Source organism: Homo sapiens, chromosome 1 (assembly GCF_000001405.40).
Source record: "Homo sapiens chromosome 1, GRCh38.p14 Primary Assembly".
In the NCBI taxonomy this organism is placed as follows: Eukaryota; Metazoa; Chordata; class Mammalia; order Primates; family Hominidae; genus Homo; species Homo sapiens.
In genome coordinates this window covers 214586532-214609698 of record NC_000001.11, presented here as the reverse complement: position 1 = coordinate 214609698, position 23167 = coordinate 214586532, and the positions used below count along the sequence as shown (strand labels likewise).

At 45.4% G+C, this 23167-nt stretch overlaps 1 protein-coding gene and 1 pseudogene across 2 annotated transcripts in view, besides 1 other annotated feature; one reads left to right on the top strand and one right to left on the bottom strand.

The window, feature by feature from the left end:
• CENPF (centromere protein F) overlaps positions 1-6504 on the bottom strand; it is a 61377-nt gene extending 54873 nt beyond the window's left edge. For both annotated transcript variants that reach the window (NM_016343.4, XM_011509082.4), the window contains exon 1: positions 6378-6504. The gene's annotated coding sequence lies outside the window, so the exon portion shown is untranslated. The remainder of the gene's footprint in view (positions 1-6377) is intronic.
• ABHD17AP3 (ABHD17A pseudogene 3) lies at positions 496-4242 on the top strand (annotated as a pseudogene).
• Positions 6401-6610: a silencer, noted in NCBI's record as "silent region_1815". NCBI's record gives its function as "represses an Ori minimal core promoter by ATAC-STARR-seq in GM12878 lymphoblastoid cells {active_cell/tissue: GM12878}" and the evidence as "EXISTENCE:reporter gene assay evidence [ECO:0000049][PMID:35858748]".

Sequence of the window (23167 nt, the reverse complement as noted above, 5' to 3'; positions counted from 1 at the left end):
TAGGCTTAGTACCTGGGCAACAAAATAATCTGTACAACAATCCCCCATGACATGAGTCTACCTGTAAAACAAACCTGCATGTGTACCCCTGAACCAAAAATAAAAGCTAAGAAAAAAATAATATTTTGCCATAAGGTTTTCAGGTGAAATAGGTCCTATAAACAAAGAAAATGCATGACAAGATATTCTGCATATGCTCCTCTTTCCCTCTTCACATGGTTAATTACCACTCACACTTTGTCCCTCTTCCTCTGGGAAACTTTTCTGAGATCCCTGACCCGGCCATAGTTTCCCATCATAGTTACTCACAGCACAGGTAGCCCATCTCCTTCCAAGCAGTTATCATTTTTTAATAATGAATGCATGCATGAATGAAGAGTGAATGCCGTATTAGTACTAGAATCACTGCAAAAGGTGGTAAAGTCATGCTCCAGACAGACACTGACCAGGAAAGACATATACAGTACAACCTTAGAGATTCAAAGCGGATTCTTCGGGGGGAGCTGCGGCGGTGGCGATGCAGGAGGCCGGCCGGGGCGCGGAGGGACCGACGGACGCACGGGCAGGCGGCCAGGCGCCATGGAGTGCGGCCCTGGGGCCCAGGGGCGCGGGCCGGGGTGGGCTTCCCACGGCGTGACATGGAGACCTGTGGTTGCGAGGCTCCCTGGGGCTCGGCTTGGACCGCGATGGGGCTGGGCCCTGGCCTCCTAACGGGGCTGCCGTCTGGGGCCGTAGCTGGGGGGGCGCCCTCCCCCCTGCCCGCGACTCGGAGCACCCCCACCCCTCCCCTGCCGGGCCAGGCCGGGCGGCGTTGTTGGCTGGGGCCCCGGTGGGGGCCTGGCCCGGGCGGCGCCCGCCATGAACGGGCTGTCGCTGAGTGAGCTCTGCTGCCTCTTCTGCTGCCCGCCCTGCCCCGGCCGCATCGCTGCCAAGCTCGCCTTCCTGCCGCCGGAGGCCACCTATTCCTTGGTGACTGAGCCCGAGCCGGGGCCTGGTGGGGCCGGGGCCGCCCCCTTGGGGACCCTGCGGGCCTCCTCGGGCGCACCCGGGCGCTGGAAGCTGCACCTGACGGAGCGCGCCGACTTCCAGTACAGCCAGCGCGAGCTGGACACCATTGAGGTCTTCCCCACCAAGAGCGCCCGCCGCAACCGCGTCTCCTGCATGTATGTTCGCTGCGTGACTGGTGCCAGGTACACGGTCCTCTTCTCGCACAGCAATGCCGTGGACCTGGGCCAGATGAGCAGCTTCTACATTGGCCTGGGCTCCCGCCTCCATTGCAACATCTTCTCCTACGACTACTCCGGCTACGGTGCCAGCTCGGGTAGGCCTTCCGAGAGGAACCTCTATGCCGACATCGACGCCGCCTGGCAGGCCCTGCGCACCAGGTGAGGGCAACCCTGGGGGCAGCTCAGCCTGGGCACACCCAAGAGGGGACCAGGCCGGGGGCCGGGGGGCGGGCTTCCCTGGGAGGAAGGTGGGCGGCTCTGCAGGAGGGGAGCCACAGTGGATGCACAGGGCCAGAGAGCCGGACAGGCGAGCTTGGGTGTGCAGGTGCAGCCTCCACATGGCTGAGGTGTGGCCAGGCGGTCCTTCCACACCCTGGCCTGTGGAGCCAGGCTCCCTGGGAACCCCTGGCCTGAGGACGGGAAGGGGCTGAGCTTGTCACAGGGGCGTGGATGCCACCCGGCGGGAGGGAGTGGGTGGTGTCTGGGGGTCTGTGCACGTGTGGCTGGGGCCCCATCGGCCGAGGCAGCACTTGGGGCCAAGTGAGGCGAGGCTGCTGCATCCAGGTCCCGAGGCCTGGCCCATGAGGCCCTGTGGCTGCGGAGCTTGGCCATCCTGGGGCAGGGCCTGCAGGGTCAGGTGCAGACCCCCAGCACACATCCAAGGTCTGGGCCAGCCTCCATTCCAGATCCAGCCCTCCTAGTCATCCAGGTCCCCAGCCCTGCGCTTGCCTGGGGCCTTCACTGGTGTTTGAGCACCGCCCGGGCCAGTGCTGCTTTGGATGAGGAGACCCGGGTGGGCCTCTGGTGACCTTTCCTGCTCGCCATCCACTGGGGCTGTCTCGTCCTGGCCCTGCCCAGCCCACTGGTCTGACCTGCTCCCGCAGGGACCAGGCATAGCTCTGAGAAGTCAGAGGCCCTGGGGAGGTGGGGTCCTCGTTGCCTTGGTGATATTGCAGGCAGTCCCTGCTGTGGGCCTGGGAGCTGGTCCCCTGGCACCACCCTGGCTCCAGGGGCCTCCCAGCAGTGTGGGGCGCTGACACCAACCACTTCATGCGACTTCCTCGGCCCCTCCTGTCTCTACTGCCTGGGCCACTGGCAGAGTCACACCCGCCATGGCCAGCTCTGAGCTCTGTCTGCTCGGCCATCTGTCCTGCTGCCACTTTGTCCTGCAGGAACCTAGGCCCAGAGCTGTGAGGGGGAGGCCAGAGCATGCCCAGGGCCTCCACTGGGGATGTGTCCTGTTCGTTTGAGTGGTGACATCCAGGTGGCAGCTGGGGGCTCCTGCCTGGTAGCAGGTGACAGGGCTGGGCTGGCTCAGCACACTACTGACCATGGCTGCCAGGGAGCAGGCCAGGGAGGCTAAGGCAGAGCTGGGGCCACAGGCACAAGCCAGGCAGCATCCTTTGGGGCATGGGTGAGTGGCGAGCTGTGGAGTGCTGCCAGGAGGCTGGGATTCCAGGCCAGGGAGGGGGACAGCCCTGCTGGTGGAGTCCGAATGCCAGGCAGAGGGGACGCACACCTGCCCATGCTCCTGCCTTGCAAGAGGGCATCTGCCTGGGATCAGAGCCTGGAGCGTGTGGGAGGAGAGTTGTGGGGTCCCGGCATGGGCAGGGTGGCAGGTGGGTCCCGCGTGGTTGGGACTGGGCACGAGGAGGCCTTGTAACTGGTGCTGGATCAGCTGGGTCACGGGCTGCACACCAGTGACCTGGGGGTGGGGGTGGCCCTGGGTGGGAGCTGGTGATGCTGAGGTGGCCGAGGACTTGTCCACTCCCAAGGGAAGGTGCTGGTGGGAGGGGGTGCCACCTCCGCAGCCACGACCCTCGATGCTGACCTGGGTTGCACTGGCATCTCATTGGGCGTGGGGACTCCGAGAGTCCAAAATTGGGTGGAGACATTTGGGGACACAGCTGCCTGAATTCCTCATGGCCAAGGGGGTGGGCAAGGGCTGCAGGGAGGAAGAGTGTCCGCTGTCCTGGCCAGTGCACCAGGAACGGCTTTCTAACCCGGGCAGGAAGGCGTGAAGCATTCAGGATGTGGGGGGCACACAGTTCCCAGTGTGCACCTAGGGGTGATCAGGAGGAGAGGCGCCAGGGCCTCCCCTACCTCCGCCCCAGGGCCACTCCGTAGGCGGGATCCCTACAGATCCTAGCTAGGAAACGCCAGGGAACGGCAGCGCCAGGGAACGGGGTGGGGCCGCTGGCTTCGCCCACCGCCGCGGTGTTGAGGGCTGGGGGTGGCCCTCGGGACTGGTGTGGAGCCTGGGCCTGACCCACTGACTTGGCTGAGTGGGGAGACTGGAGGGTCGCATCCGGAGCTGGGCCCGGGGACGCCCGCTGGCGGGAAGGGTGCGCGCGCGTCGGAGGCCGCGGCTGACCCTGCTCCGGCGCCTCCAGGTACGGCATCAGCCCGGACAGCATCATCCTGTACGGGCAGAGCATCGGCACGGTGCCCACCGTGGACCTGGCCTCGCGCTACGAGTGTGCCGCGGTGGTGCTGCATTCGCCGCTCACCTCGGGCATGCGCGTCGCCTTCCCCGACACCAAGAAGACCTACTGCTTCGACGCCTTCCCTAACATCGAGAAGGTGTCCAAGATCACGTCGCCCGTGCTCATCATCCACGGCACGGAGGACGAGGTGATCGACTTCTCGCACGGGCTGGCGCTCTACGAGCGCTGCCCCAAGGCGGTGGAGCCGCTGTGGGTGGAGGGCACCAGGCACAACGACATCGAGCTCTACAGCCAGTACCTGGAGGGCCTGCGTCGCTTCATCTCCCAGGAGCTGCCAGCCAGCTCGCCTAGCGGCGGCACCAACCGGCCAGACCTCAGCAATAAGGCAGCCCCCGGACCTCACCCCGCGCCGGCCCCCCAGGGGCTGCATGTGGACCCCCGGGCGGCCCAGGGGACCCCGCTCCAACCCAGGGGCTGTGGACGATGTACAGGCAACAGAGCTACGCACTCCTTTCCTTTTGGAAGCAAGAAGAAAATACGTGAAAACAGAAATTAAAGATTTAAAATTTAAAAAAAAAAAAAAACAAAGCGGATTCTTCTAGCTCAGGCACTTACGGATGTATGACCTTGGGCAAGTTATTTAGCTGCTCTATGCCTTGTTTCCCTTGTTTGTAAAATGAGGATAATAATGATGGTGACTTCCTAAGGCCTTAGAAACAGTAAGCTTTCCTGGTAAGCTTTCCATATATGTTAGCTATTACATACTTTTTAAAAACACTTTTTCACTTGTATATTTCAGCCTATGGTACAAAGGGTGAAGTGGCCTACCTCCTTCTCAGCCACATCTTAGGAAATAGAAATCAGCTGGAAGAAAATATAGCAACTTTCCTTTATTTTAGCCTTCAGAACATAAACAAAAAGAAAAATCATTCATTTTCCAGTTACTTAGGCAAGAGTTTGAGAATTTGTTTTTTTACTAAATAAAGTTAACGGCCATTTTAATGGTTTTTTTCAATCGATTTTATCAATGAAACTTTTTATCAAAACAATAAGCAGTTCATGAAAGTACTAAGAACAATAAAAAAAATTAAGAGGGAGAAGCAAAGGTCTTAGACAACATATAAGTTGGATATCAAAGCCCTGGAAAGCTGTGTTTTGCTACCAGTTTTGTTTTTTTTTCTAGCTCTCAGTTCTTGGAACACAGCATCTTGTATTCCACTCCCATTTATCCCAAAACTACTGAAAGGAGTCACATGCCTCTCAACCAACAAAGGACAACTGACCCTGTCTCAATATCCTCCATTCCAATCTAGTTTGTCAGGAGTCAAAGAACTGTACCCAGAGACACACAACTGTAATTGCCCTAAACAATTCAGCCAGCAACTGAAATCATTACATCAAGATGCTATAGCCAACAGAATATAAAAAGGAGCAATTTAGAAAGATGATTAGAAAATGAGGGGAATAAACATAAAGAAGACTGGCAAGCTGAATGCTTTTCCATTCCAAAGTCTAAGATAGAGAACAATATAGATGTAGACCAAGCTAACTGTGATTAGAGCAGATTTTGGCCCATTAAGGGATCAGCTATCAGCCACCTGTATTGGGCCATTGGGGCAAAAGAACAAAAAAATAAACCCAGAAGTTTACTTTTGAGGAACAGGGAATCGAGGTGGGGAGTGAAGAAAAGCCCTGGATGAAGGTTCCTGCATGGAGGACTTGCAGGACTATTGTCCTTTCCAGAAAATGCTGTATCTTTATCTCTTAAATACGTGGAGGGCACTCTTCATGCCCGAACTACCCAGTCCCTTAGTCCCCAAGGAAGCTCTTGTGTGACCTCCTCCTGCCCCACCTCCACCACTGCTTTCCCGTTGTCAGAATTCCCCACCTCCTCCAAAAAGCCAGAGTCCCCGTGCACTGTACCAAGGCTGGGTCTGAGAATGATAACCCTGCCTTCTCCTCTAGGTCAGGCTCAAGGACACGACCCATGCCTTTTATTTCTGGGTCCTCATTACACAGCCGAGCCGGGCACACAGGCGCGTTCAAATAAATGTGGAAGGGAGGACCGGGCGTAGTGGCTCATGCTTGTAATCCTGGCACTTACAGAGGCCAAGGCGGGAGGATCCCTTGAGCCCAGGGGTTCCAGACCAGCCTAGGCAATATAGGGAGGCCTATCTCTATTTAAAAAAAGAAAAAAAAAAATGTGGACGGGAGGAAGAAGAGAGGGGAAAGAGAAATGCTCGCGTAACTAACCATAGGCACCCCACGTCGCCAACCAGATCAAAACTCAAGCTTACATCTACTCAATAAAACAAAGGACCAGGGCCTGAATTTCAATAAGGTTGGTTACGGGACTGGGAAGGCGGCTTGGAAATACCTAGTCATCTCCAATTCTTTTACGGAGGAAGAAAATGATCCCCTAAAGTGTGAGTCCGTGACCGAGTAGGGTCTGGGACACTAATCCGAGACCAGTTTGAACCCGAGCAGAAGGGCGCAGACACCCCTACGAACCACATCCCGGGGCGGATTCTCCAGTTCGGTCGGGTGGGAGGGGGCGGTCCCCGGCACCTACAGGGCCGGGAGAGTGATCCCAGAGGCCTCCCCGCCCAGTACCCGCCGGCAAAAAGCCAGCGGCACCCCCACGCCGCCCGCCGCCTACCGCCCGCCGCCAGGGCCAGGATCCGGACCCAGTCAGGACGCTCACCTTGCTCTCGGGGACGGGAAAACGACCTCTCGGAGAGTACAGTTCTGGCGCGGCTTCGGCGGGCTGGAGCCCAGAGTCTAATTCAAACTGCCCGCAGCCGCCACCGGTGCCCAATTCGCCCGCTTCTGGTCTCAACCAAACTTACCTCCACGCCTATTGGTCACTCTAAGTAGCTGCGGACCAATCCGCGCCTGCGCACTCAGACTGCCGCGTCTGATTGGCCCTTTCGGATGGATTTTAAAAACAAGCCCTCTACTGGAGGTGCCTGCGCCGGAGTTTACTGTTCTTTTTTGTTGTTGCGGGGAGACGGAGACCACGTGCTTTTGCTAATGCTAGACGCGGTTTTGGACCGCTATTTCCGCAAAAGTCAGGGAATGCGCCCGCTGATTAGGAAGGCGTGGTCTATCGCCTACAGCCAGGGGAACTGTGCTGCCTGGTGAAACCTCTTTTAAACTGCACGTACCAATCTACTTAATTAAACGTAAATTTAGGACATAGATACTAGGTGCTGTGTTTGTCATGCATTCTTTATCCGGTGTCGTTCTTAACAATTCTTTGAGGAAAGTATTATCCTCATTTTATTAAAAAGTTAACAGGCTCATAGAAGCTAAGTACAGTAATTTGAAATTGAATCTACGCAATGCAGGATGTCGCTCTTAAATGCTGTCCTTTATGGTTCATATTTCTAAGACGTGATTCTGAACACTTATTTTCCGGGATTAAGGCGTGGGGGGAGGACACTGCATCAGAATTTAAAATTCAGAAGAATCCTCAAAACGGGGTGTAATGCTTTTCGTGAAGCCCACTAGTTTTCTATGTATGTTATATACTCGTTTTATTTCCCTATTAAACTATAAATAAGCTTCTAAAGGCAGAAGCAAAACAATTAATTGTTAAAGTAATAGATCTCTAATGCTGTTGTCTGCCTCAATAGGTACCAAACTTTCCAGCCCCCTGACTTTACCTTTCATTAGACTGTTCCTGCAGTACCCAATTCAAGTGTCACTTTTTTTATAAAACCTCCCTAATCCCACCCACTCCTTAGAGATAATTATTTCCTAGACCTTTCCTGGAACTTGCAAACTTCATGTTTAGGATTTTCGCCGTGTCTTGTCTTGTATTTATGTCTACGTCTGACTCCCCCATCAGACTCAAAAATTCCTTTACAGTAAAATCTGTTTTAATTCATTTTTGCATCCCTAGTAACTTTGCACATAGTAATTTAAAATCCAGATCATCTTGGGAGATAAAACTGCTATTTGGGGAAAGGCCTTGTTCTTACTATCTTCTACCTTCGAATCCCCAAAGGGAGGGGAGAGAGCAGGTAGGGGAGGAAAACTTTTGTCAGACATTGCCATGATCAGTCTAGTGTCTGGTAGTTTTAGAATTTGAACCAAATTGTGTCTGGCTTCAACACAAATTACAATTCCATTGCTTCCCAGAGTAATTATTCAACTATGTATAGGCTGTTTAAGGAAAAATAAACAGCTAGAAAGACAGATAATAGAGGATATTTTTAAGGTTTGAATAAGAAATTTGCATTTACTATTCATTCATTCGTTCTTCAGCAGATATCTATTGAGTGGCCACTGTATAGTCAAGCCTTGTGCTTCGTTTTTCTACAATGAACAATAAAGAAATACATTCATTTCTTGAACAAGGGAAATAGGATGGATACCATTCTAGTAACTCCTGTGATATTTCTCTGACTTTAATTTTATGCTTCCCTTCCCCTCCCTTTATTTTTCCCCCGGTTGGTTTGTTTGTTTTGTAGGGGGAGGATCCCGTCCAACCAAAGACAGATGTTCTCTAAGGGTCCATTTTTGGCTCTCTGCTCTTCTCTTTTTAAGTCCTTTCCCTCAGTTAGCCAGTCTACTCTCTCTGGATTGTTCATCCACTACCTCGATATTCTGCTTGTGGACCAGTGTCTTTGAGTCTTCCCATCTTTTCTACAGATTAGACTGCAGGTTCATCACTGAAATCACTCTTTTGCCAGTGTCCTCAACTCCCTTGCCTCTTGTTCTATCTCCCAAACTTGTATGTGTGCAAATGTCCATATCATCCCTTGGTGCACTATTGCTGCAGAATGGGGCTGGAAAAAAATCCCAGCACTGTGCAAATACTTTAAATGTAGGATGTCTAGCTGGGCCTCAATGCTGCTCCACAGCCCTTTCTCCCAGTTTCAGGATTTCTCTAATCCGCTGCAACAACCATCTCCATTCTTACTCTCAGAAGATGACTTTATTTTCTAGTTCACAGAAAACATAAGATTTCTGACAGGAACACCTTCAACTTTCTGAGACCCAAATCTACAAATGTGTGAAAATCTATACCCATTCTTACCTCCTTTCTTCCTGTTACAACCATGGGAAATGTCTTTCTGACTACTCCTAAAACTGAACAATCATACTGTGTTTTGAGGCAACTTGCTTCTCAGGAACTTCACTCTCCCAGTTATGCACTTGTAAACAAGAATCTTTAACTGCTTCTACCTTCCTAAGTCTTCCTAGTAGCACTTAAACTGCTCAAATATTTCCCTTTAAAGAGAAATATTTTCTCAATCTCATGATCCCCTGAAGGAATCATCATATCTCCCCTCACATTCCATTTCCTTTTCAGATTTGATTAAATAAGTTGCGATACTACTTTTCATCAATTATTTTTCTCCAAAAAAACCCCACGAGTACTTTCAATAAATGAGAGCCGTCTCTATAGCTGCATCATGAAGACAATATAATCTATTATTTTAAGCAGCAGTTTACTTTTCATTTCATATTATTTTTCATCTTATTAGAACTGTAAATATTTTATAATTACACGATTTTATTTTTTTATCTATTCTGAAATTTTCTTTTCTTTCCTTGAGATGGAGTCTGGCTCCGTCACCCAGGCTGGAGTGCAGTAGCACAATCTCGGCTCACTGCAACCTCTGTCTCCCGGGTTCAAGCGATTCTCCTGCCTCAGCCACCCGAGTAAATGAGATTACAGGCACGCACCACCACGCCCAGCTAATTTTTGTATTGTTAGTAGAAACGAGGTTTCACCATGTTGGCCAGGCTGGTCTCGAACTCCTCACCTCAAGTGACCCACCAGCCTCAGCCCCCAAAGTGCTGGGATTACAGGTGTGAGCCACTGTGCCCGGCCTGAAAATCTGTATCCTTTTTTTTTTGAGACAGTTTTGCTGCGTCGCCAGGCTGGAGTGCAGTGGCAAATCTCGGCTCACTGCAACCTCTGCCTCCCAGGTTCAAGTGATTCTCCTGCCTCAGCCTCCTGAGTAGCTGCGACGTCAGGCGCACGCCACCACGCCCAGCTAATTTTTGTATTTTTAGTAGAGACAGGGTTTCACCATGTTGGCCAGGATGGTCTCGATCTCTTGACTTCGTGATCTGCCGGCCTCGGCCTCTCAAAGTGCTGAGATTACAGATGTGAGCCACCGCACCTGGCTGAAAATCTGTTATCTTTAAAACAAAACAAAACAAAAAAAAAACTTTAGGGCCGGGCGCAGTGGCTCACTCCTGTAATCCCAGCACTTTGGGAGGCCGAGGCGGGCAGATCACGAGGTCAGGATATCGAGACCATCCTGGCTAACATGGTGAAACCCCGTCTCTACTAAAAATAAAAAAAAATCAGCCTGGTGTGGTGGCACACGCCTGTAGTCCCACAGCTACTCGGGAGGGCGAGATAGGAGAATCGCCTGAACCTGGGAGGCGGAGGTTGCAGTGAACCAAGATCGCACCACTGCACTCCAGCTTGGGCGACAGAGTGAGACTAGGTCTCAAAAAAAAAAAAAAAAAAAAAAAAAAAACTTTAAAAAGATAGACGTTACATAAGATAAAATACACTCATTTTAAGTGTACAGTGCAATACATTTTGACAAATATATTCACCTCTATTAATACCACCAAAGTAAGAATATAAACATTTCTTGATATTACAAGTATCTTTATACCCCTTCCCAGTTATGCACCCCAAAAATTCCCAGACACAAGCAACCATTGATCTGTTTTCTGTCACTTACACATTAAATTCATATTTTCCTAGAGTTTCGTAGAAGTGGAATTACAGTGTGTACTCTTTTATGTCTGTTTCTTTTTTTTTTTTTTTTTTTTTGAGACGGAGTCTCACTCTGTCGCCCAGGCTGGAGTGCAGTGGCGCGATCTAGGCTCCTTGCAAGCTCCGCCTCCCAGGTTCATGCCATTCTTCTGCCTCGACCTCCCTAGTAGCTGGGACTACAGGCACCCACCACCACGCCTGGCTAATTTTTTTTGTATTTTTAGTAGAGACGGGGTTTCACCGTGTTAGCCAGGATGGTCTCAAACTCCTGACCTCGTGATCCGCCCGCCTCGGCCTCCCAAAGTGCTGGGATTACAGGCATGAGCCACCGTGCCCGGCCTTATGTCTGTTTCTTTTACTCAGCATAATGTTTTAGAGACATATCCTTGTTGTTGCACATGACTGTGTTTTTTTAATTTCTTAGTAGTATTTCTTTGCATGGATATACAATTGGTTTATCCGTTCACCTGTTGATTTGTATTTATGTTGTTTCCAGCTTGAAGCTTTTATGAATAAAGCTTCTATGGACTTTTATGTACAAGTCTTTGCATTGACATAGGTTTCATTTATCCTGGGAAACACATAAAGTGAAATTGCTGGGTCAAATAAGTAAGTGGGGGCCGGGTGTGGTGGCTCACACATGGAATCCCAACACTTTGGGAGGCCGAGGCGGGCAGATCACTTGAGGTCAGGAGTTCAAGACCAGCCTGGCCAACATGGTGAAACCCCGTCTCTACTAAAAATACAAAAATTAGCCTGGCGTGGTAGGGCGCACCTGTAATCCCAGCTACTCCGTAGTCTGAGGCAGGAGAATCGCTTGAACCTGGTAGGCGGAGGTTGCAGTGAGCCAAGATTGTGCCACTGCACCCCAGCCTGTGCAAAAAAGAGTGAAACTCCATCTCAAAAACAAAACAAAACAAAACAAAACAACAAATAGTAAGTGGATATTTAACTTTTTAAGAAATGTCCAAAATCCTTTTCAATATCTTACATTCCCATGATGTATGAGTGTTCTAGCTGATCCACATCCCCACCAACACATGGTGTGTCTGTCTTTTCAATTTATGCCAATCTAATTGATGTGACTGTTATCTCACAGTGAACTTAGTTTTATTTCTCTGATGACCAATGATGTTGAACATCTTCTGATGTGCTTATTGGCTGTTTATAGATTTTCTTTTGTAAAGTGTCTTAAAATCTTTTCCTATATTTTTACTGAGTTGTTATCTTCTATGATTTCTCATATATCTGGATACAAGGCCTATATCACATACATGTTTTACAAAAATTTTCTCGCAGTCTATTGCTTGTCTTTTCAATTTCTCAGTGATGTCTTTCATAAAACGCAAACTAAACTTTGATGGACTCTAATGATTCACTTTTCTCTCGTGTCATGCTTTTTGTGTGTCTTATCTAAGAAATAAATCTTCACTTTTACCTAGTTTAGAAAGACTTTCTCTCATATTATCTCCTGGATGTTTTATAATTTGAACTTTCACATTTAACTCTATAATCTATTTGGGTAAATTTTTCTGTATGGTGTGACATAAAAGTTAAAGTTTATATATTTTCCCATACAGAGATCTAGTTGTTCTGACACCATTTGTTACAAAAATTATCCTTTCCCCACTGAATTACCTTAGCGTCTTTGTTGAAAATTAATTGACCATATAAATATAGATCTACTTTTGCCTTTGTATTCTGTTCCACTGATCTATATGTCATATCTTTACATCTGTATCACACTGTATTCATCACTGTAGCTTAATGATAAGTCAAGAAATTGGGTAATGTAAGTCTTCCAATGATGATCCTTTTCAAAATTGTATTGTCTATTCTAGAGCCCTTACTTTTCATAAAAATTCAGAATAAAATGAGAATATTAATTTTCCCAAAAGCCTCCTGGGATTTTGACAGGGATTACTTTGAATCTACGGATCAGTTTGGAGAACTTAAGAATATTGTGCCTTCTGACACAGACAGCATACATCTCTTCCATTATTTAAGTCTTCTGAATAACACCTCTCTTAGCAGTGTTTTGTAATTTTCAATGTACATATACATTTTGTTATATTTATCCCTAAGTATTTCATGTATTTGCTTGCCATTGTAAGTGGGTTTTTTAATTTCACTTTTCATCATTTTGTGGCTTGTAAATAGAAATCAATTTATTTTTGTAAAATGACCTTGTATCTTTTAAGCTTGCTAAACTCTCTTGTATTAATGGATAGGGTTGTTGTATAAACAAAAGAAATGTCTTTTCTCACAGTTCTGGAGGCTAAAAGTGCAGAATCTAGTTTCTGAAGCTGGGCACAGTGGCTCACTCCTGTAATCCCAGCACTTTGGGAGGCCGAGGCAGGCGGATCACCTGAGATCAGGAGCTTGAGACCAGCCTGGCCAACATGGTGAAACCCCGTCTGAACTAAAAATACAAAAATTATCCAGGTGTGGTGGCAGGCACCTGTAATCCCAGCTACTAAGGAGGCTGAGGCATGAGAATTACTTGAACCCAGGAGGCGGAGGTTGCAGTGAGCCGAGATCATGCCACTGCACTCCAGCCTGGCCAACCGAGTGAGACTTCATCTCTGGGGGGAAAAAAAAATCTAGGTTTTGGGAGGATTGGTTCCCTGTCAGGGCTATGAGGGAAAGATCTGCTCTAAGCCTCTCTCCCTAGCTTGCAGATGGCCATCCTCACATTCACATGGCATTCTCCCTGTATGCATGTCTATTTCATAATGTCCCCTTTTTATAAGGACTCCAGAAATAGTGGATTAGGGCCCAACCTAATGACCTCATTTTGACTCTGTAAAGACCCTCTCTCCAAATAAAGTCACATTCTGAAATACTGGGGACTAGGAGTTCAACATATACATTGGGGGAATGGAGGGAGCACAGTTGAACCTGTAACATCTCTTTATAGTTCTAGTAGCTCTTTTGTAGATTGATTGGTATTTTCTACGTGTGTTATCTGTGAATCAACACAGTTTTACTTCTTTCTTTCCAACCTGTGTGTTTCCTCTTTATTTTTCTTCCCTATTTTCTTTTTTTTTTTTTTCTTTTTTGACGAAGTCTCGCTCTTTCGCCCAGGCTGGACTGCAGTGGCGCTATCTCGGCTCACTGCAAGCTCCGCCTCCCGAGTTCACACCATTCTCCTGCCTCAGCCTCCCGAGTAGCTGGGACTACAGGTGCCCACCACCGTGCCTGGCTACTTTTTTTTTTTTTTTTTTTTTAATTTTTAGTAGAGACAGGGTTTCACCGTGTTAGCCGGGATGGTCTCTGTCTCCTGACCTCGTGATCCGCCCGCCTTGGCCTCCCAAAGTGCTGGGATTACAGGCGTGAGCCACTGCACCCAGCCTTTTCTTCCCTATTTTCACAGGGTAGGACCTCAAGCACAATGTTGAATAAATGTCATGAGAGTCCCCATCTTTTTTGTCCTCCTGATATTAACGAAAAGCATTTGGTCTTTCAGCACTAATAGCTGTAGGTTTTTGTAGATGCCCTTTATCAGACTGAGGAAGTTTCCTTCTATTCCAGTTTGTTGAATTCTTATCATGATTAGATGTTGGATTTTATCAAATGACTTTTCTGCATCTATTTAGATAATCATAGAGTAGTTCTTTTTTATTTGATTAATATGAAGATGTCATTGTTTGATTTTCAAACGTTAAAATAACCTTGTATTTCTGTTATATGTCTGACTTGGTCATAGTATATTATCCTTCTTATATATTGATGGATTTGATTTGGTAATATTTGCTGATGATTTTTGCAGCTATGTACAGGTAAGATATTGGTTCATATTTTTCCTTCTAATTATGTCATTAAGCATGATTACAAACTGCTCTGGTTTAAGTATCAGGTATATATATATATATATATATATGTATATAGTTTGTTTGTTTGTTTTTTGAGACAGAGTCTAGCTCTGTCACCCAGGCTGGAGTGCAGTGGCACCATCTTGGCTCACTACAACCTCTGCCTCCCAGGATCAAGCAATTCTCCTGCCTCAGCCTCCCAAGTAGCCAGGATTACAGGTGTGCACCTGGCTAATTTTTGTATTTTTAGTAGAGACAGGGTTTCACCATGTTGCCAGGCTGGCCTTGAACTCCTGACCTCAAATGATCCGCTCGCCTTGACCTCCCAAATTACTGGGATCATAGGCGTGAGCCACCACACCCAGCCTCGGGTATAATCTGACCTCATAAAATTAGTTGAGAAGTGTTTCCTCCTCATGCCTTTTCTGAAAGAGTTTGTGTAGAATTGGTATCATTTATTCTTTAGTGCTTGAGCCTAGAATTTTCTCTGTGGGGGGTCTTAATTGGAAATTAAACTTTTTGCTAGGAGCAGAGGCTCATGCCTATAATGCCAACACTTTAGGAGGCCGAGGCATGAGGATAGCTTAGGACCAGGAGTTTAAGACCAGCCTGTGCAACATAGGAAGACCCTGTCTCTACAAAATCAATAACACTTAGATGGGCATGGTGGCAAATGCAGCTACTTAGGAGGCTGAGGCAGGATGATCACTTGGGCCCAGGAGGTGAAGGCTGCAGTGAGCTGTGGTCATGCCACAGCACTCCAGCTGGGGTAAGAGAAAGATCCTGTCTCAAAAAGAAAGGGAGATAAATTAAATTTTGTCATTGAAAAAGCGTTTTTTGAATGTTCTATTTTATTTTACACAGTTTTAGTAGGTTCTGTCCTTCAAAGATTTTTTCTATTTTATCTATGTTGTCAAAATTATTGGTACATTGTTTTTCAGATTATTCTATCATCCTTTTAATGGACTTGTAATATGTAATGTTCTCTCTTTCATCCCTGACGCTGGTAATTTGTGTTCTCTCTACCCACTTCCCTCTCATCATTCAGCTAAAATTTTACCAACTTTATTGATCTTTTCAAAGAACCAACTTTTAATTTTATTGATTTATGTATATGATTGTCCATTTTCTATTTTATTGATTTCTGTGCTCATCTTAATACTTTAAGTTTTTCTTTTTTTACTAGCTACTTAAACTGGAAGCTTAAATAATTGATTTTAGACCTTTCTTTTTTTTTAATATAAATATTTTAGCTTTACCTGACCCCCAAAATTTGTTTGTTGTCTTTTCCCCTTTTCCCCCCTTAGAAACAGGGTCTCGCTGTGTAGTGATGTGATCATAGCTCATGACAGCCTCAAACTCCTGGCACAAGCAATCCTTCCATCTCAGCCTCCTGAGTAGCTAGGACTACAGGCACATGCCACCATGCTCAGCTAAGCTTTTTGCTTTTTGTTGAGATGGGATCTCACTGTGTTGCTCAGGCAGGTCTCAAACTCTAGGCCTCAAGCTAGCATCATGCCTCAACCTCCCAAAAGTGCTGGGATTACAGGCATCAGCCACAACTCCCCCGTATTTTCATTTGTATTCCTTTTTAAATATTTTCTAACTTCTCTTATGATTTCTTATTTGACCTGTGGATTATTTAAAAGTATAATGCTTAATTACCAAATATTTGTAAATTTTCTAGATATTTTTCTATTGTAAATCTTAATTTAATTCTGTTGCGATTAGAGAACATACTCTGCATGGTCCCAATCATTTTAAATTTAATGAGACTTAACCAAGTCTCAGTATGTTGTCAAGCTTACTGGGTATTCCCGATGCCCTTAGGAAAATGTGTATTTTACATTTTGTGTATGAAGTGTTCTATAAATATCAATTATGTCAATCTTGTATTCTCTATCATTAAGATTTTGCATCTACTTGCTCTATCAATTACTGAAAGAGGAGTATTGAAATTTCCAACTATAATTGTGAGTTTATCTATTTATTCCTGCCAATTCAGATTTTGGTTCATATAACTTGGAGCTGTTATTAGAAGTGTACACAAATTGTTATTCTTACTGAATTATACTTTTATTATTATGCAATATCCTTTTGATCTCTAGATATATTCCTTGTTGTGAAATTTACTTTCTCTAATACTGACATAGCTACTCCAGCTTTCTTTTGTTTATTGTTTATATATCTTATTTCATCCCTTTACTTTTATTTATATACTTATTTATTTATTTGTTTTTAGAACTCAAGTTCTGCTTACTAGGATGGAGATGTCAGTGCTTTATCAAAGATGAAGAGGCCACCCATTTGTGTCTATATTTGAAGTATGGTTTTTGTAGGCAGCATAGTTGAGTTCTTTTTTATTTAGTTTTGCGATCTCTGCTATATTAGTTGAGCTGTTTAGAATATTTATATTTAAAGCAATGTTTGATATGGTTCTTTTAAATCTTGCTATTTGTTTTTGTTTTCCTACCTATTATTTGGGTTTTTTTCTAGGTTTCTTTTTCTTTCTTTTTTTTTTTTTTTTTTTTGAGATAGAGTTTTGCTCTGTCACCCAGGCTGGAGTGCAATGGCACAATCTCGACTCACTGCAACCTCCACCTCCCAGATTCAAGCGATTCTCCTGCCTCTCCCAAGTAGCTGGGATTACAGGCATGTGCCACCATGCCCAGCTAATTTTTGTATTTTTAGTAGAGGCAGGGTTTCACCCTTTTGACCAGGCTGGTCTCAAGGTTTTTTTCTAGGTTTCTTATGGAATACAGTAATGAGAATTTTTATGATTTATTTTTCTCTACAATATTGGCTTATAGCTATAGCTTTTTGGTTTTGTTTTTATTTGCAGTGGTAGCTCTGAGGTTGATCGTATATATCCTTAACTTATCAGAGTCTACCTTCAAATAACATTATACCACTTTATATATAATGTTACCATATGTTTTATTTTCCCCTTCTCAGCTTTTATACTATTGTTGTTATACATTTTACTTCATATATTGTAAATCTTATCATATTATTATCTTTTATTTAAACCATTAATTATGTTATAAAGAAACCTTTAAAACTACAGGAAATTACTGTTATATAACCCAACTATTTATAATTTCTGATGAACTTCATTCCAAGTTTCTATCTATTATCATTTTCCTTTTGCCTGAAGAAATTCTTTTTTTGTGGCAGTAAATTTCTTCAGCTTTTACGTGTCTGAACATTTTTGATTTATCCTTATTTTTGAAAGATATTTTTGCTGGGAATTCTGTGTTGTTGGGTGGTTTGTTTTGTTCTGATTTTTTCTTTCTTTTTTTTTGACTCTCGCTCTGTCACCAAGGATGAAGTGCAGTGATGCAATCTCGGCTCAATGCAACCTCCGCCTCCCGGGTTCAAGTGATTCTCCTGCCTCCACCTCGAGTAGCTGGGATTACAGGCATGCGCCACTATGCCCAGCTAATTTTTGTAGTTTTAGTAGAGACAGGGTTTCACCATGATGGCCAGGCAGGTCTTGAATTCCTGACCTCAAGTGATCCATCCACCTCGGTCTCCCAAAGTGCTGGGATTACAGATGTGAGCCACTGTGTCCAGCCTGTTCTCTTCTTAAAGTGCTTTCCAGGAGTCATCCATTGTCTTCTGGTTTGTGTAGTTCCTGATAAGAGGTCCATATTTTCCTTATTTTTATTCTTCCCCACATATCCTTTTACTCTGGCTACAATAAGATTTTCTCGTTATCCTTTTGGTTTTCTAGTGTTATGATTTGATATGATTTTATTTGTATTTATTCTGCTTGAAGTTAGTTGAGCTCCTTGAAGCTATACATTTTTAGTTTTTGTCAAATTTGTAAAAATTTTTAACATTATTTGTTCACGTATTTGTTGTCTCCTACACTCTCTTCTGCTTCTGGTACTCAATTACATGTTTTTTTACAAGATTTTTTTTTTTAAGACAGAGTCTTGCTCTGTCACCCAGGCTGGAGTACAATGGCACAATCTTGACTCACTGCAACCTTCGCCTCCAGGGTTCAAGCGATTCTCCTGCCTCAGCCTCCCGAGTAGCTGGGATTACAGGCATGCACCACCACACCCAGCTATTTTTGTGGTTTTAGTAGAGATGGGGCTTCACCGTGTTGGCTAGGCTGGTCTCGAACTCCTGACCTCAGGTGATCCACCAGCCTCGGCCTTCCAAAGTGCTGAGATTACAGGCATGAGCCACCATGCCTGGCCTTAAGATGATTTAATGTGGTTTTAGAGGCCATTTTCCCAGCCTTTTTTCTGTCTGTATTTCATTTTGGATAGAACCTATTGCTTCATCTTCAAGTTTACTGATTCTCTCTTCTGTAATATCTAATCTGCTATTAATCCTGTCCAGTGAAATGAGAGTAATGATAAATTTAGCAGACACAGATCTTAAAACAGCTTTTATAAATACTATTCAACATGCTGAAAATTTAACAGAAAACGTGGCATTTTGAGAAGAGAGGTGGAAAAATATAAAAGAAAAGCAAAATTGTTAAAGATAAAACATACAATGGCCGAATTAAAAATTCACTGGACAGCCACCAGGTGGGAGGATTACTTGAGCCTAGGAGGTCAAGGCTGCAGTAAGCTGGGATCACACCACTGCACTCCAGCCTGGGCGACAGAGTAAGACTGTCTTCAAAAAAAAGGAATTCCTCCACACCTGCTCTTTTTACTACTTCCCCATCTCCGTAAATGATATCCTCGTTCACACAGCTAACTAAGTTTGAAACTTTAGAATCAACCCCCTACTCCTTTCGTATATCCTATCAATTATATCTCCCACAAATACACAAATATTCCCCATCTCTCCCATGTTCTCCATTCTCACTGCCCAGTACCTTGTCCTGACTACTGTCAATTCTTGCCTTTATTACTCAACAGCCTTCTGGGTGGTCTCATGGCAGAGTTTTCCTTGCTAATGTTAGGGCCTTGATATGGATGGGGTAGAATTGTGAGATCTGAGGTGAGAATACGTCAGTGGGTCCACCTAAGGCTTATCCTTGCATGATCACTTTCCTAGTCACTTCTCTCCTGCGCCCACTTCCACCTCCCCCAATTGTCTCCACACCTCTTCCTACTCTGGGAGGGAATGGTTTCCTCACCAAAAGAGTTGCAGGACCTGGGTAATAAGTACAAGCAGGAATCAGGACATGCTTGAAAGTTGATCTTGAGGAGGCTGGGAGGAGAGGGAGTACAGAATATAAGGTTGGACAGGCTAGGGCTTACTGACATGGGAGCACTCTCGTGATTTGGGATTTAACGTTCTGGCAAGAATGTTAAATTCTGAATGTGCCATTCTGGATGGCTTCTTGAAGTCTGAACGTGATGATGACCTTTAGCAAGTAGGGTTGATATGCTAAAACCATAGTTACCAGTACTAAGGGTAGGAATAGCAGTCTTTAGGGGCTGGGCATGGTGGCTTATGCCTGTAATCTCAGCACTTTTGGAAGCCAAGGCAGGCAGATCACCTGAGGTCAGGAGTTTGAGACCAGCATGACCAACATGGTGAAACTCCATCTCTACTAAAAATACAAAATTAGCCAAGCATGATGGCACATGCCTGTAATCCCAGCTACTTAGGAGGCTGAGGCAGAAGAATCGCTTGAACCTGGGAGGCTGAGTTTGCTATGAGCCAAAATCCCACCACTGCACTCTAGCGTGTGCGACAAGAGCAAAATTCCATCAAAAAAAAAAAAAAAGCAATCTTCATGAGGTGGGAAAGTTAGACTGGATTTATTACCTAAGATCACCACCAGATTATTATTTCTAGAAGGGACCAAAGGATATTGCCTCCACTAAGACAACAAAGAATGTCTAGAAAGGGGGACACCAACATCTTTAAGCTGTCCAGTGGTGGCTGACCTCTATAGGCCAGGGTTGACAGTAGAAGATGCTGCTATAGAATGGCATGAATAGAAATCTAGAATGGCCTAGGCCAGGGCCAGTGCTTAATAACCTTGTCAATGGCAAGGTGAAAGTAGTTGCTGCAATGGACAGCACAGCTGGAATAGAAATAAAGTCCAGGGATCTGTGGTTATGACTAATAGACTATTATGTTTCTAGGTAAGAGATAGATGGCTAACACACTTGAGTTTTGCTTGATTTCTATAACAAGAAAAACTCACGTATTGGCCCAGCAGAAAGCTGAAAGCAACTACAGTGCAAAATGAAGCAAGCATCCAGCACTTGGCCATATCATCTGGCAGATCTACAATGCTAGAGATACCCATGGCAAATTAAGGCCGACCGTCTGGCATGTCTCAATGAGAGATTCATTGCACAGGCTCCCTAGTATTCTGGAACAAGGTCATGTTTTCTCCACTAGAGAATGACTTATCATTTGAAAAGCAGCTCCTGTTGTGCTACTGGGCCAGCAGACACTGAGCACCTGACCTTGTAACATCAGGTGTATAACCAGAACAGTCCATCACTACCTGAATATTGCCAGATCTACCAAGTCATGGGTTCTAGCGGATGTGGCAGCAAACCATCCTAGGATGAGGCCCAAGCAGGTTGAAAACGCATAAATAACTTAACATAAATAGCAAGCCATAAGTCACCTACTCTGTTTCACAAAGGCTTTCTCTCTCAATACCCATCTATGGCCTTGTGGTGAGTTCCCCAAAAGTAGCCCACCCAAAAAACACCTGATTGTGGTTCACAGATAGGTTGGCTTCATATGTTGGTATGTCTTGAAAATAGGTGGCTGCTCCCTACAACACCACAACAGGGGACTTCAAAGGGCAGAGCTGTGAGCAGAACAGCAGATCATCTACTTCATATGGGGAAAAGGTGGTCCAAGGTTAGAATATATTGCTGGGCAAATAATTTGGCTGATAGGAACAACATTAAATTATTGTAGACATAGAGATTTAAAGAAGAGGATTGTAGATAGACCTTTTAGGAACGGAAAAAGATTGTGGGGGTCTTGCATCTTTTGTCAATACCCACTAGAGAGCATCCACCATAGGTAAGACAGGAAACAACCAGGTGGACAGGACAATTTTTCTGGTGGATTGTCCAGTGAGTGTCCTTCATTACCAAAGCGTTTGCACAACGGTCTCATCATCAGAGCAGCTATGCTATCGGGGCTAGTGGCTATAGATGGGTCGAACAGCATGGACTGCCTCTCATCCTCTCTAAACTGGTCTAGCCACCATTTTTGCTAAATAACCACCCTGTCAGTAGCATACTGACACTAGGTTCTCAGTATGGAACAATCCTAAGTAAAAACAACCAGCTCCTTGGTGGCTAGTAAATTGCATTGGATCCCGTCCACCTTGAAGGAAATGATACCTACTCTCTCTGCAGTAGCTGTGCCAGCACTGCCCTCTGAATGTTGACAGAATACCTGATTCACACCCGTGGGATCCTGCATAAGATTGCCTTGGACCAAGGGACCCATTTGACTGAGAAATATGTACATGATCATAAGATTCACTGGTTCTACCATCTTCTACCTATTTCTTGAAAGTAAGTGGTCTGATACTGATATGGCTTAAGTTGTGACCCCAATAAATTCATATTCTGAATTCTTCAGCTTCTGAAATCCTAACCCCAGGTACTTCAGAATGTGACCTTAATTGGAAACAGGGTAGTTGCAGATGTAATTTGTTAAGATGAGATCAGTAAGGTGAACCTTAATCCAATATGACTAAGTCATTATAAAAAGGGGACATTTTGACTGGGAACTATGCCTTACACCCATAATCCCAGCACTTTGGGAGACCAAGGTGGGAGGATTGTTTGAGGCCAGGAGTTCAAGACCAGCCTGAGCAACATAGCAAGACCCCATCACTACAAAAATTTTTAAAAAATTAGCTGGGTGTGGTGGAATGAGCCTGTAGTCCTAGCTACTTGATAGGCTGATGTGGGAGGATCACTTGAGCCCAGGAGTTCGCGGCTACAGTGAGCTATGATTGCGCCACTGCATTTCAACCTGGGTGGCAGAGTGAAATTCTATCTTTTTAAAAAATAAAAAAGAAGACATTTGGACACAGAGACACAGGGAGAACGCTGTATAAAGACTGTCATAAAGACTGTCATTACACTGTCGCAAACCAAGTGACATCAATGATTGTTGGCAAACTGCCAGAAGCTAGGAAGGAGGCATGAGACAGAATTCCCTTCCCAGCCCTCAGAAGGAACCAATTCTCCCAATACCTTCATCTCAGACTTCTGGCCTCCAGAACTGTGAGACAATAAATTCTGTTATTCTAAGCCTCCAGGTTTTTGATACTCTGTTATAGCAGCCCTAGGAAACTAATATAGTAATAAGATACCATATTGGAATGGCTTACTTGTGGCTTCACTAAAGCAGGAGTTCATCCTATAGAATGGGAAAACTATTCTTCACAGTGCACTATCAGCATTGAACTAGTGTATCAAGCTATGTCCCCAATAGCTAAAATATACAAGTCTAGAAGCTAAGAAATGGAAAAAGAATTGGCTCTTCTCACTATCACTACAAATAATCCACATGTTCTTCCCTTTCCTTCTACCTTAGGCTTTACTGGGTAAAGTGGGGAGTGGGGAACACTACTCCTAGTGACACATAAGGGTTCCACAAAACCTGATGCTGTAACTCGTCTCTTTGTTTTCCTTATGTGGGTAGACCAGCAGGAAAAGAAAAGAGTTGTAATACTGGTAAGGTTAGTCAATCCTGATTATCATGAGAAACTAGACTTGCTGGTACATAAAGGGACATGGAAGAATATGGAACTCAGGGCATCCACTGGGGTACCTCCATATGCTTTTATGTCTAGTGAAAACAGTGAGCAAGCAAATGCAGCCGTCACAGCCCAACAAAGGAAAGGCGACCCAAGGCCAGACCCTCTGGGATGAAATTCTGGGATTCCCCCATCAGGCAAATAAATTATTAATAGATCAGATAATGCTGATCAAGGATAGGGAA